The sequence below is a fragment of the Homo sapiens genome, chromosome 1 (genome assembly GCF_000001405.40).
Source record: "Homo sapiens chromosome 1, GRCh38.p14 Primary Assembly".
In the NCBI taxonomy this organism is placed as follows: domain Eukaryota; kingdom Metazoa; phylum Chordata; class Mammalia; order Primates; family Hominidae; genus Homo; species Homo sapiens.
The window spans coordinates 233571178-233587190 of NC_000001.11; the positions used below are offsets into that span (position 1 = coordinate 233571178).

Here is a 16013-nt window from a genome sequence, read left to right on the forward strand (position 1 = left end):
AGTTCCTCATTTCTCAGTTTCAGCATAGAAAAACAAATTAGTGTAGATTTAAGAGATTTTAATCAAAGAAATGCAAAAGGAATGGAAGAGGGGAAATGAGGTGAGAAAGTAAGGAGGAGAAAAAATAAAGAAATGCAGAATGAGGAATTTATAGGTTGCATCACTCAGCTTAATGCCTTCCGTTAATAGTGTACCTTGATTAATACTTATTTCTCTGTTGCTTCTTCACAATCAGGAATCAAGCATAAGTTATCTGACATAAATATAGTGACAAACATTCCCCTAACACCTGCCCCAGGCTTGCAATATAGAGCTACATAATAAATGTTTCAATACTTTGGAGCAGAGATTTTTCAGATCGTTCCGTTAGATGCTGCAGTTTCCAGGTATAGTCATAATAATAGCTAATACCTGTGTAACTCTTACTGTGTCCAAGTCCTCTTCTAAGAACTTGCTATGTATTGTGTCTGTTAATACTTAAACAAGCCTGAGAGATAGGTATACTAGTAGCATACCCATTTCATAGATAAGGAAAGCAAAGCACAGAGCAATTAAGGTTAAGTAGTAAGTAGCAGAGTTGGGGGTCCTGCACCAGTATCCTTGCTCTGAACCACAGTGCTACACTCACTCTCAAGGTTTGTCCCAGCACTTTGGGAGGCTGAGGCGGGAGGACGGCCTGAGCTCAAGAGTTTGAGACCAGCCTGGGCAACATGGTGAGACCTCGTCTCCAAAAATTAAAATTAAAATTAAAAAACAAATAAAAAAATTAATAAATAAAAGAAGGTTTATTTGATAGGCATTCCCCAGCTTTGGGTCCCAATATTGTAGTATTGGATTCCAGAATACAAGTGTAATGAAGAAACATAAGAGAGCTCAAAGAGGTCTGAAAAGCAAGATCGATCATGAGAAAGTTGACTTATATTTATTTAAAAATTTCCACAGTGATTTGGCTTTGCACGGCATGAGGCTCTGACAATGATCTCTCTTTACCTGTCAAGGAAATTGGAGGTATGAGCAGTGTATATAAATATTTAGGAGGAAAGCTGAGGAGAACACCCAGAGTGGACAATCAGGAGTATATTCTGTGAAGGAAATCCTATTTCTCTAGGATCCCTAGGCTCTTTATATCTTGACCATTTTAGTGTGTAAGAGTGCTGCTAAATATAATCAGGGGTATTCACAGGACATACTTTTTCACACCAGACAAACACTGTTTTAGGCATTTTAGGGAAATGCTTCACTAAAGATACACACTGTTTTAGGCATTTTAGTGGAATGCATTTAGTGAAAGAATTGTAATTCTTAATTCCCAGAAAGGGTTGATAGAGGGTGAGTTCCAGAAAGGCTTGGGTTTCAGTACTCAATAACTGATGTATGGGCTACTTACTATGTGTAAGGTACAGGTAGAAATTGAGGGACACAAAACCCAGAGGCTTCAAGGAGCTTATATCCACATATGAGGAACTTATGTACTGTCTAAAATTGTGTACACTGTATAAACATGTATTACTTAAAAAATTAAACCTGCTTTTGGTTCTATTTTAATATTTGAAAATTTAATCAGCATTTAGAGGGGGTTGGTAGAACAGCCATTTTGCTCAATTGAGACCTCTGCTTACCCCTTGGATTCTTATAAAAGATATAACTTATTCAAATAACAACAACTGAAGATGAAATGACTGAAATTGCCCTCTTGGATCTTTCTCTCTAAGGTCCTACAGATTTATAGTTTGTATCTTGAAACTTAGCACTCAGTTCTGTATCACATTTTGTTACCTGTTTCTTAGTTTTTCCCCCCAAATAAATTTTAAATGCCCTGATTTCAGAGACCATGTCTTATACTTCTGCAATATTTATAAAAGTAGGGCTTCTGTGCTTCAGTCTCAGAAAGTATTAGACCTGAAGGTTGTTGTGTAAAGTCCACACACACACACAAAAGTCTTTTCTCCCTTTCCCTTCCCTTGCTTCCCCTCCCCTCCCCTCCCCTCCCCTCCCCTCCCCTCCCTTCCCCTCCCCTTCCCTTCCCTTTTGACTGGGTCTTGCTCTGTTGCCCAGGGTAGCGTGCAATGGCACCATCTCGGTTCACTGCAATCTCCACCTCCCGGGTTCAAGCGATTCTCACACCTCAGCCTCCCGAGTAGCTGGGATTACAAGCGCACACCGCCACACACAGCTAATTTTCGTATTTTGAGTAGAGACGGGGTTTCACCATGTTGGCCAGGCTGGTTTCAAACTCCTGACCTCAAGTGATCTGCCCACCTTGGCCTCCCAAAGTGACGGAATTAGAGGCGTGAGCTGGCCACAGAAAGTATTTTCAATTAACCTGTCTTTTGCCTCTGTTGATTAAATACCATGAAGGAAATACAGTCTTCAGCCATTTTTTTTAATGCTCCCTTTGTTTCTCTCCCATCCCTGCCATCCCACATCACTACAATTTCTGCATCTCTTAAATAAAAGACAAACAAAATTCTTAATTCTAACTCAATTCTAACTTTTGCATACATATGTCAAAAGACTTTTCTTGTCTTCTTTCTTTCCCCTTCCTTTTCAAAGTCAAAATAAGATTCACATAACCACAAAACCCACCCTTTTAAAAAGCGTACAATTTAGCAGATTTTAATATATTTGCAAAGTTGTGCAACTATCACCACTATCTAATTCCAGGACATTTTCATTACCCCAAAAAGTAGTCTTGCCCCTATCAGCAGTCACTCTGCATTTTCCCTCCTCTAGTCCCTGGCAACCACGATTCTACTTTCTGTCTCTATGCGTATGCCTATTCTGGACATTTTATATACATTGAACTGAATCAAAAACATATGGTCTTTCATGCCTGCCTTATTTCATTCAGCATAAGGTTCTCTTTTCTTTTTTTTTAACTTTTATTTTAAGTTCTACATGTGCAGAATGGGCAGAATTGTTACATAAGTAAATGTGTGTCATGGGGGTTTGTTGTTTAGATTATTTCGTGACACAGGCATTAAGCCTAGTACCCATCAGTTATTTTTCCTGATCCTCTCCTTCCTCCCACCCTCCACCCTCCAGTATGCCCCAGTGTGCACTGTTTCCCTCTATATGTCCATGTGTTCCCATCGTTCAGCTCCCACTTATAAGCGAGAACACAGCCTAATGCTTTCAAAGTTAATCTATCATGCAGTATGTATCACTATCTCATCCCTTTTTATGATTACATAATATTCTATTGTAGAAATATTTTACTTATTCGTGCATCAATGGATGGACATTTGGATCATACTTGCATTATTTTTTACATAAAATTACTAAATTATATTAGTTGTCTGTTGCCTCATATCAAATTGCCCCCAAACTTAGCAATTTTAAACAACAAATATTAATTATCTCACATAGTTCTCTGAGGGTCATAAATCTTAGCTAAGTGGTTCTGGCTCAGTGTCACTCATGTGGGTTCGGTCAAGTTGTGACCTGGAGCTGCAATCCTCTGAAGAAGTCATCATGAAGACCCACTCACATGGCTGTTGTCAGATCTCAGTTCCTTGCTGGTGGTTGGACAGAGGCTTCAGTGACTCCCCACATAACCTACTATACTCCACCTCCTGCTCCTCAAATGTTCACATTTGTTCCATGTGCAAAATATGCTTCCTTTAACACAATATCCCCAAAATTTGCAGCCCATTGCAGCATCAACTTAAAGTCCAAAATCTCATCTAAATTATTTAAGTCAGATATGGGTGAGACTCTGGATATGAGCTATCATAAGGCAAATTTTTCTCCATTTGTGGGCCTGTGACACTAGAAAATATGAGAAAATATTTGTGTTTTTTTGTTTGTTTTTTGTTTTTGTTTTTGTTTCTGTTTTTGAGACGTAGTCTCACTGTTGCCCGGGCTGCAGTGCAGTGGAGCGATCTCGGCTCACTGCAGGCTCTGCACCCCAGGTTCACGCCATTCTCCTGCCTCAGCCTCCCGAGTAGCTGGGACTACAGGCGCCCGCCACCTCGCCCGGCTCAAAATATGTGTTTTTTTCAAAATATAAAATGGTACAGGTATGAATACCAGTTACAAGCATTCCTGTTCAAAAAGGGGAAAAATGGAAAGAAAAAAGGAATCGTCAGTCCCAAGCAATTTCAAAATTAAGCTGGGAAAACAACATTAGGTTTAAGTCCTTCAGATAAACCTCTTTGGTTCACAACTCTGCCCTCTGGGCTTAGGGTTTTACCCTCTGGACTATCAGCTCTGCCCTCTGAGTTATCCTTTGCAATGAAGGCTAGCACGTGTTTGCAGCTGAGTAGTTTTACGGCCTTCTTTCTACCTGTAGACTTTTAGGAGTCCAATAGCCTTTCATTTCACGCTGTCTCCTTCAGTCTAAGTTGGCAGTGTTTTTGCTGGTATAAAATTCTCAAGGACAATGTGAGTCACTGGTATATGTCATGGAGATTTACTCATTAGACAAGAGGCTCATCCACAGGTCGTTTCTAGATAACCCCATATCTACTTTTGGCTTCTGCTGAGATAGCTAAGGAAATCCATGAATCACATGCCTTCTTCCTTCGAAGATATTTTGTTCCTTCCAAACCACGAGGGAAATGTTGTCCAGCTACTCCCCTGATTTGCCCTCCAGAGCAAGCTTTCCTGTGATTCTTTGAAGTTTAGCATCTTTCATAACCTAGAATGACTGGGAATTTTCCAAATCATCAAGTGCTGATTTCTTTTGGGTTAACAGTTCTCTTTCCTCTCACATTTTATAATGAAAAGCAGAGAGAAACCAGGCTGCATATTCAATACTTTGCTTGGGAATATCCTCAGCTAAATATCCAAGTTCGTAACAAATTCTGTTTTCCACATAACTGTAGAATGTAGTTCAGCTTAACATTCTACCACTATATGACAAGGTTGTAATTTCCTCCAGTCTCATTGTATTCATTTCTTCCTGAACCCTTATTAGCAATGCTTTAGCATCCATATTTCCACCGATAGCCTGTTTATGACAATTTCTATATTCTATAAGACATCATAGGTTTTCTCCACCATCCTGCTCACTTCTTTCTCAGTCCTCACTAGCAGTCATTACATTAATATTCAGAATGAAGAAACACTTACAAGTGTTTGTTATCAGGCTAGTATGACTCTGACACAAAACTAGAAAAGGACATTACAATAAAGAAAAATTATAATGCCAATATTCCTCAGAAACACAGATGCAAAATAACAGTAAATCAAATCCAGCAATGCATAAGAGGATAATTTCTTATGATCAAGATGCATTTATTCCAGGAATTCATAACATAAAAGAATCAATCAATGCTATTATGTTAGTAAGATAAAGAAAAAAATTATAGGATCATTTTAATAGATACAGAAAAGGTATTTCACAAGTTCAACACCTTTTCATGATGAAGTTTCAGAATAAACTAGGAATAGTTTCCTAACAGCCTGGTGAAGGCACTCTAGGCTTTTTCTATAATGTCCCTTAAAATTCCTTCATCCTCTACCCACTGCCTAAGTCCAAAGATCTCTCCATAATTTTAAATATTTGTTACAGCAGCAACAAAAGTATACAGTATAGAGTATTGGTATCAAAAGTATGGCGTATTGGAACCAAGATCTATGTTAGTTTCCTATTGCTGCTGTAACAAATTACCACAAGCATAGTGGCTTAGAACAACAAACTTTTATTATTTTACAGGTTTAGAGGTCAGTAGTCCAAAATAGGTCTTACAGAGCTAAACTCAAGGTAGCAGCTGAGTTGCATTCTTTTTGGAAGTTCTAGGCAACAGTTTATTTCAGTGCCTTTTCTGGCTTCTAGCAGCCACCTGAATGCTTTGATTCATGGTCTCCTTTTTCTATCTTAAAAGCCAGCAATGTAACATCTTCCTGACCCTACTTCTACCCTCATATCTCTTTCAGTAACCAGGTTCTCTGATTTTAAGGACTCATGTGACTAGACTGGGACCTTCTGGATAATGTAGAGTAGTCTTTCCATCAAAAAGTCTGTAACTTTATCACATCTGCAAAGCCCCTTTTGCCATGTAAGGCATTAACTCACAGGTTCCAGGGATTCTGACATGAACATCTTTAGGAGGCCATTGTTCTTTCTACCATAACATCTTCCATTAAATTTTTACTAGGCATTTGATGTTCTTTGATGCGACTGGAAATGTTTTTATAATTTCAATTTTCAATTGTTTGTCTCTAGGAAATAGAAATTTAGTTGATGCTTGCATATTAACCCGGTGTCTAATGATCTTTCTAAGTTCATTTACTACTTCAAATATGTGTTGGACTTTTGTATATTCTATGTATATAATTATATTGCTTATGAATGACAGTTTTAAAGTTCATGTCATTTATAATTTATATGTACTTTGCTTGTTATGCTAACTAGAAACTCTAGTACAATGTTAAATAGAAGTGCTTAATAAGGAACATCTTTGTTTACATAACTCAGGAGGAAAGCATTCAATATCTTACTATTACTTATAAAGTTAGTGATGAGTATTTTATAGATAACCTCCACCAGAAGATCTTTCTGCCTTGTCCTGATATTCCTAGTTTACTCTAAATCTTCATCAGGAAAGGGTGTTGATTTTGTGAATACTTTCTCTGTATGTATTAAATGATCATATAAATTTTTCTTTATCTTATTAACATGGTCAATAAGATTGATTTTCTTATGTTATGAATTCCTGGAATGAATGCCTCTTGATCATAAGAAATTATCCTTTTTATACTTTGCTGGATTTGATTTGCTATTATTTTGCATCTGTGTTCCTGAGGAATATTGGCATTATAATTTTTCTTTATTGTTATGTCTTTTCTAGTTTTGTGTCAGAGTTATACTAGCCTTATAACATGAGTTGGTAAGCGTTCCTTCATTTTGAATTCTCTCTGAGACAGATAGGCTGAGGAACATCACCTCATTCCAATTAGAGCTTGAGCAGGATTAGGACTGGGCACAGTTTTAGTGAGGCTCAATCCATATCAGTTTCACTTCTATTCATTTCTTTCTTTCTTTTTTTAGAGTTGGAATCTCACTCTATTGCCCAGCCTAGAGTGCAGTGCCATGATCATGGCTTACTATAGCCTTGAACTCGTGAGCTCAAGCGATCCTTTCACCTCAGCCTCCTGAGTGGCTGAGGCCGCTGTGCCCGGCCTTTAAAAAAAATTATTTTTGTAGAGATGGAGTCTCACTATGTTGCCCATGCTGGTCTTGAACTCCTTTCTCAAGCAATCCTCTTGCTTTGGCCTCTGAAAGTACTGGGATTACAGGCATGAGCCTTCATGCCTGGCCCTCACTGCTTTCTCAGGCATGAACCTTACAGAATTTTGATTGAAATACTGGTAGTTCTATTTCATGAGAATCCTTCATTTCAAAAGTTTAGAGCTGACTCTTTAGTCTCTCACCTCATGTAGTACAGAATCAAAATCAGGCAAATGTCTTAAAGGGATGGAGTAGGGAGTTGGTTTTGTTTTTGTTCACAGTGGGACATTGTTTCTCAAGCCCAAATGGGGGATATTTTACTCCACCTTTCCACATCAGGCTCCTAGCTTCCTGTACACCTTGAGATTTCAAGAAGCATTGCATGTAGGGAAAATAGCCAAGCATTTTTATTTCCTCTAGTGTCCAATCTGTCACACCATCCTGAAACAACTGTCAAGAGCTTTTCTGTTTTTTCTTTCCCTATATGTTGTGTTCCTGCATGGGCTAAATATGACCCTCAGCCCAGGCCCAGACTTGGCAAATGCCACCGGGGAAGGAAACAGCTGGTGGTCATCAGCTCACCTAGAATGGGCTCTTCTCTCCACAGAATGTTAGTTCACCTGTACTTGTTACTTCCAACATTGCCTGTTGTATTTAACAATTAATTCTTGTAATTTATCCATTTTTAGTTAGTTCTTATAGATAGATAAAATGTTAGCCTCCCATGACCGAACACATCTTACCTAGAATCAAAAGTCTTATCTTTAGATATTTTGGAATTTATATACAGTCATGTAATTGTTTAATAGTCAGAAGCATTTCCCAGTTTTAATTTTTATATGTCTTTCTTTTCAATTCTTATACCTTTTATTTATTTTTCTTGTCTTATTGCATTCATAAGACCTCTAGTATAATGCCCTATCTCATTCAGACTATCAGAGGGAAAGTTTTCAATATTTTAAGAAAGTTGCATTGTATTCCTGGTGTCCTAAAATATGTTATCATTCATTTTTTTCTTAATCTTTGCACAGGCTAAGCATAGAGACATTTACAATCACCAAGACAACTCCAAAAATCTTAACACAATGGGCGCAATTTTAACACATGAGTTTTAGAGAGTAATGCATTTGGAATATCACCTACATAAACAGAAGTGATTTTGGTAATTAAAATCTGCCTTTTATATTTAGATACCGTATTAGTTTGTTTTCACATGGCTATAAAGAACTGCCCTAGACTGGGTACATTATGAAGAAAAAAGGTTTAATTGACTCACAGTTCTGCATGGCTGGGGAGGCCTCAGGAAACTTACAATCATGGCAGAAGGCAAAGGGGAAGCAAGGCAGGTCTTTCATGGCAGCAGGAGAGAGAGCTCGCAAGGAAGTACCACACTTTTAAACCACCAGATCTTTAAACCATCAGATCTTGAGAGATCTCACTCTTACCACAAGAACAGCATGGGGAAACCTCCCGCATGATCCAATCCCCTCCCACCAGGCCCCTCTCCTGACACATGGAGATTAAAATTCCACATGAGATTCGGGTGAGGACACAGAGCCAAACCATATCAGATAGGTACACAGTCTATGTAATATTTTCCAAAAATCATGCTCCATGTATACATTAATCTTATGTTTTATTCATAACAAATAATTAGTACAGATCTGCTATTGCTAAAAACAGATAAGGATTCTCCTGCTAATAAATACTGTTAGCGTGCTTCCTAGGCGTTCTGTTATTATCAAGTTTATAAGGGGATATGACTAGGTGAACCCCTTCTTCCCTGGACATACCCCTAGAGAGGGCAAATAGATAGCACAACTGCTGCCTATTTCTTATTTAATTTTCACATATTAAATCAAATGTATATGCCTAGAATAGGCTACATTTGGCCATGATGTATTGTCATTGTTGTATTTTCCTGGGTTCTGTTTGCTTTTTTTCAGCTTTTATTTTTAAATTAGAAAAGTTTCAAAAATATTACAGGGAGCTCATGTAAACTCTTTCACCTGGCTTCCCCTAATGTTAACAACTTACATAGCCATCATGCAATGATAAAAACCAGGAGATTATCAATTGATATGATCCTACTAAGTAAACTATGGACATTATTTGAATGACACCAGTTTCTCCTTTTGTCCTTTTTCTTTTCCAGCATCTAATCCAGGATCCCCCACTGCATTTGGTGGCTGTGTCTTCTTCGTTCCCTCCAATCCAGGACCCTTCCTCCATCTGTTCTTGTCTTTCATGACCATAACACCTCTGGCAAGCACTGGTCAGCTGTTTTGGAGAATATATCTTAATTTGCATTTTTCTGAAATTTCCTCATTATTATAATGACATTACGCTTTTTGGGCAAAAATAATACAGAAGTGATGTTGTGTTCTTTGGTGTACATGATCTCAATATGTCTCATTACCTTAGTGTTGTCCTTGATAACTTGGTTAAGTGATGTCCATCCGATTTCATTACTGTAGAGTTACCATTTTTTCCTTTTGTGATTGATAAACATTATGAGAAAGAAACTTTGAAACCATCTTAATATCCTGTTTTTCCTCAGATTTTCACTCATTGATTCGAGCATACTTAGGAGGATGTTGCATGCTATTACTTTGGTGTATTTCTAATGGTGATTTTCTTCACCGTTTCCCATCCACTGTAGGAAAAGGAATCCTTATTCTGTAAAGGCAGAAAGTTTAACAGAATTTTTGTGGAAAACAGAATGTGTCATGCTGAATATATAGCTCAGGAAATTTCAAAGCAAAGATTTGAAGGTGCTGCCTGGCTTCTTTTTGGCACTTGTAATATGCAAGAGGAGGAAGATAAATTGAGGAGAGAACAGTTCAACAACAATAAAAAGAAAAAAAAAACAAGACTAGGAGATTTTGAAAATGTTCAGCCTTTCCAGATGGCATTAGGTGCTAAGTGTCAGAAAAGACTGCTAAAAGTGTGGTGTAGAGAAAAGGCTGGGTGTGTGATTGACAACACATCTTTTTCTAAAACCACAGAAATATCAAGAGATCACACAAGAGGCCCCATCAAGAGATGAAGGGTGTGCCCCCTCAGATCCTCTTAATCAACACAGAGGGCCTCTAGCAAACTTACAGGGCTGCCCCTCAGCTATCTCAGCAGAAGCCAAAGGTAAAGAAGGGCTCACATAAAAAAAATATTAGGAGTGTGGGTTTTGTCTAACGGAGCGAATCCCTGTGAAATAAATTCAGGATCCACAATGTTCTTGAGAAAATTGCTTCAGCAGAAACACTACCATCTTAGACAAAAAGGAAAAAAGAAAATATAAAATGAAAGGGAATGTGGGATCCCCCCAAATTCTGCTAGCAGGAAGCAGGCTGATAAATAACTCAACTGCAAACACCTGCTACATTTTATGAATAATTAAGGATAATTCAGAGGGTGGAGCCGTGATTGCGCCACTGCATTCCAGCCTGGGTGACAGAATGAGACCCCATCTCTATAAAAATAAAAATAAAATTTGTATTACAGCACAAGGGATGGAGAAGGAGTGAGACGGTGTGCACAGAGCCTAAGGGGTAGAGCCAAGTGCTTAGAGGGCAGGGTTAAGAGCCTAGAGGGTGGAGTCAATCACCAAGAAGGCAGAGCCAAGAAACTGGGGCGTGGGGCCAAACACTACAAATGATTGTTCTCAGGCGATATTAGTCCATTAGTGTGGCTATAAAAGAATACCTGAGACTGGGTAATTTATAAAGAAAAGAGGCTTTTTTGGCTCACAGTTCCGCAAGCTTTACAGGAAATGTGGTGCTGGCATCTGCTTTTAGTGAGGGCCTCAGGATGCTTACAATCATGGAGGAGAGCAAAGGGGGAGCAGGGGGGTATCATACGGCAAAAGAGGGAGCAAGAGCCATGCCAGGCTTTTTTAAACAACCAGCTTTCATGTGAACGAATAGAGTGAGAACTCACTCATCACCAAGGGGGTGCTGAAGGGAACCACCCCCAGGATACAACACCTCCCACCAGGTCCCACCTCCAACATGGGGGATTGCATTTCGACATGAGATTTGGAGTGGACACACATCCCAACCACATCACAGGCCTTGAAAAAAAAAATCGACATTTGCTTTGCTCTATTTCAGAATTTTATAAGCTAGTGGTTGCTTTTTACCTCCCATTTTTTCACTATTTGTGCTATAATTGTCTATAATTATCCTGCACAAGTCCCATCATATTATTTTCAGTGTGTTGGAGCCAGACGACTTGTCTCTTTAGTTCACAGGTCAGTGGACGGATTATACCCAGGGGACTCATTCTCAGCTGGGTTAGATGATTTGAATGAATTTGTGGACTTTGAGATAATGCTATAATGGGATGAGACCCTTGGGAATCTTGGGAGAGTGTGAATGTATTTTGCATGTGGGAGGAACAGAAATCAAAGTGAAGAGAAGTGAAGATGGCTTCAGAAGGCACTTCAAAGAAAGTGGGAGTAATCCTTTTTGTTAAACTCAGGTGATAAATATATCAGTTTTCATTCTACTATTTTTCTTTATATCTTACACACATAAATGCTTTCTTACTTAATATTTAATGAAGACAACTTATTTTTAAAAAATCAAAAAAATTTAAAACTTCCAGTTCAGTCTCACTACATAGTGGAGACTGCCAGTTGTTTGTCAACATTCAGTCTTTCTTTTCTCCACAGTGGTAGACTGATAGCTGGGTTAGTGTGCCTGTTACTATAAGTTCGCCAGTGGCAGGGGAGTGAAAATGAAGATGTTGCTTTCAGGCTTGGGCCTTCTCACTCCTTCACCATCTCTTGTGCTGGAATACAGAATTTTGTTCATTATTACTATTATTTTATAGACATGGGGTCTTGTTCTGCTGCCCAGGCTGGAATGCAGAAGTGCAATCATAGCTCGCTGTAACTATGAACTCCTGGGCTCAAGTGATCCTCCCTCCTCCTCCCACCAAGTGACTAGGACTACAGGCACACACCACCACCCCTGCCTAATTAAAAAAAAAATTTTTTAGAGATGAGGTCTCACTATGTTGCCCAGGCTGGTCTAGATCTCCTAGGCTTAAGTGATTCTCCTGCCTCAGTCTCCTGAGTTGCTGGGATTACAGGTGTGAGCCACTGCACCTGGTTGGAATACAGAATTTAATGGAAATTCAATGGTATGGATGAGAACAATGCTAGTGCCTGGTTTTTAAATTCTTCTCCAGTTGGCAGCATCTGCATCAGCAGCAGCTCCTGCTCATTAAAGATGCAGAATACCTGGCACCTCCATAGACCAACTGAATTAGAATCTGCAGTTTAATAAGACCTCCAGGTGATTCCTATGCACATTAACATTTGAGAAGTGCTGCTCTAGGAGATGGTGTAGAAACAAGATAAGAGGACCTCAAGTCCCTGAATGACTTCATGGAGCAGAACTGGACTGTTATGTAAGAGAAATGAAATTCTTGATGTCTAAGGCACTGTATCAATGGGAGACTTTGCAATAGTGATAGGAACAGGAGGCAGAGAAATTCTAGGCAGGAAAGGGCAGGCTCCCTGGCAAAGCCCCACCCCCAAGCCTGGAACCATGGCCCAAAGTGAGAACATGTATTTCTGTTTTTCCCACTCAAATGTTGCCTTTTCCAAAACCACCATGGCCTGCCCTGCTCCCCGTCCTATACCCATAAAACTCCTGACTCGACTGCCAAAGGGCAGAGAAGGGGAGAAGAGGAGAAGCAGCTGGACATTGGAGACTGTGGTTTGACATCAGAGAGAAGCAGCTTGACTTCAGAGAGATGGCTTGATGACGTTGCTTCAGAGAGGAGTCTGGCCGGGACAGCCGGACTCTGGGGGAAGATCACCTTCCCACTCCATCTCCCTTCCAGCTCCTCTTCCTGCTGAGAGCCACGTTCATTGGCAATAAAATACTTTGTATTCATCACCCTTCAATTTGTTTGTGTGACCTGGATTCTCCTGGATGCTAAACAAGAGCTCAGGTGCCACAGGTGCAGACACTGAAGGCTGTCACACTGACCCTCTGCCCTTGTGAAAAGGCAGAGGGCTCACCGAGCTGTTTAACACTTAACCCATCTGTGGATGGCAAAGCTAAAAGAGCACTGTAACACACACCTTCTGGGGCTTCAGGGATTGCAGGTACCCCTCTAGGCGCTGCCACAGAGCTGCACAAAGTTTTGCTCCTGCCAGCACCCAAAAGCACTCATTGTGGCTCCTGCACCCACTCACCTGTGGCGGGCTGAGTAAGCGAGGCACCCCTGTCACAAGGCCTGCAAAGGGGTCAAGGAAATTTTCCTGTGTCAATAGCAGATTAGCTTCACTGAGCACAAGTGGTTTGCCTTCCATCCTCAATAGTCCCCAGCTACTCTGGAGGCTGAGGCACAAGAATCACTTGAACTCTGAAGGTGAAGGTTGCAGTGAGCCAAGATCATGCCACTGCACTTCAGCCTGGGCAACAGAGTGAAGCTGTCTCAAAATAAATAAATTAATTAATTAATAAAAAATAGCCCCCATTAGCGAGTCTAATTGAGAGACTGAACAAAATAAGTGAAAGTTGAGGCTTCCAATGTAGATAATGTTGGTTCTGAAAGTAAATTCCTCTTAGTTTTTGGAATCTTCAGGGACTATAACTCAATAGCTTGCTACCTGTCTTCTTGCCATCAGAGGAAGCCAAGCAAACAGTCCCCATGTTCACATTAGGTTCCCAATCAGTATTTCCCATCAAGGGAGAAGCTTAGGCTGGGGAATCCTGCATACATAATTCATACCCATTATCTCAGGCTTGCTTTCTTCAACTTAAGTAGATAGGTGTATATAAAGAGACCACAGCATGAAGAAGAAAGATTAAAATAAAGATTAAAATGGGCCCTGGAGGAAACAGATAGTGCAGAGCACATAATGTAACTGAATAAAAGCTTTTGCTCTGATACTTAGCAAGAATCAAAAGGATATTTCAGCCATTAAACAATAGCAAGTCTATGAAAATAGAACAGAGAACATAAAGTTTATGTTTTTAGACATTAAGTTTATGCTTTTAAGTTTAAAAATGAGTAAAATAGAAAGCAAAGTAAAAGACATCTCACAAAACACAGAGCCACAAGGAAAGTGATGAAAAAATTTGAGTAAAAAATAGGCCTAGGAAATTCTGGATTTGAATAATAATGGGATTTCCTATTTTTGTTTTTGTTGCATTTGCTTTTGGGGTCTTAGTCAAAACTTATTTGACTAGGCCAATGTCCAGAAGAGTTTTTCCGAGGTTTTCTTCTAGGATTTCTATAGTTTCAGGTCAAGCATTTATGTTTCTAATTCATCTTAATTTTTATATATGGTAAGAGGGCTGGAGTTTCATTCTTCTGCATACGGCTAGCTAATTTTCCCAGCACCATTTATTGAATAGGGTGTTCTTTCCCCATTGTTTATTTTTGTTGACTTTGTCAAAGATAAGTTGGTTGTAGGCGTGTGGTTTTATTTTTGGATTCTCTATTCTATTTCATTGATCTATGTGTCTTTTACACAGCAAAATAAATAATCAACTGAGTAAACACACAGCCTACAGAATGGGAGAAAATATTTGCAATCTATGTCTCTGACAAAGAAGTAATAACCAGAATCTGTAAGAAACTTGGACAAAGCAACAAGATAAAAACAAACAATCCCATTAAAAACTGGACAAATGATAGGAACAGACATTTCTCAAAAAAAGGCATACAAGTGGCCCATAAACATAAAAACAATGCTCAACATCACTAATCATCAGAGAGATGCAAATTAAAATCACAATGAGATGCCATATCACACCAATCAGAAAGGCAATTACTAAAAAGTCAAAAAACAACAGATGTTGATGTGAATGCAGAGAAAAGGAAACACACATTGTTGGTGGGAACACAAATTAGCATAACCTCTATGGGAAACAATATGGAGATTTCTCAACTAAAAATAGGACTATCATTTGACCCAGAAATCCCCACTTTGGTCATCTACCCAGAGGAAATTAAATCATTATATAAAAAAGAAACCTGAACTTGTATGTTTATCACAGCACTATTCACAAAAGCAAAGTCATGGAATTAACCTATGGGTCCATCAACAGTTGATAGGATAAGTCAACTGGATAAAGAAAATGTGGCGTGTTTACAGCATGGAATACTATGCAGCCATAAAAAAGAATAAAATCATGTCCTTTGCAACATTAAGGGTGGAGCCAGAGGCCATTATCCTAAGTAAAATAACTCAGAAACAGGAAATCAAATACCACATGTTCTCACTTATAAATGGGAACTAGACAACGGGGTATACATAGACATAATGATGAAAATTATAGACCCTGAAGACTTCAAAAGGGACAGAGCAGGGGGAGTGAGGGTTGAAAATTTACCTATTTGGTATCATGTTCACAGTTTCAGTGATGAGTATGCTAGAAGCCCAAACCACATTGTTAAAAAATATATCCATGTAATAAACCTGCACATGTACCCCTGAATCTAAAATCATAATCATAATTATAATGGATTTCCAAAAACAGTAGATAGAATGGAGGCAGAAATTATCAAATAAACAGGTGACTTTCATTAGAGCTGAAAAAAGACCTGTCTTCAAATAGAAAGGACTTATTAAGTGCCAAGCAAGATGGATATTTGCAAAGCTATAGACACTGAGAATAAAGAGAAAAATCTTAAAATTTCTCCAAGAGGAAAACGAGTCACTCAAAACAGAGGAGGAGTGAGCCCTGACATCATATTTCTGATCAATTTCACTGTGTGTTGGAGAAATGGAACAATGCCTTCAAAGCTGTAATAGAAAATGATTTTATGCAGCATCGTATGTTTCGGCCACACTAGCAACTCGAAGACT

General features: G+C 39.0%; 1 annotated feature.

Annotated features, from left to right (window-relative positions):
• Positions 3338–3560: a silencer, noted in NCBI's record as "fragment chr1:233710261-233710483 (GRCh37/hg19 assembly coordinates)". NCBI's record gives its function as "represses an EF-1alpha promoter that drives an FKBP-Casp9 reporter gene in an ReSE screen in K562 erythroleukemia cells {active_cell/tissue: K562}" and the evidence as "EXISTENCE:reporter gene assay evidence [ECO:0000049][PMID:32094911]".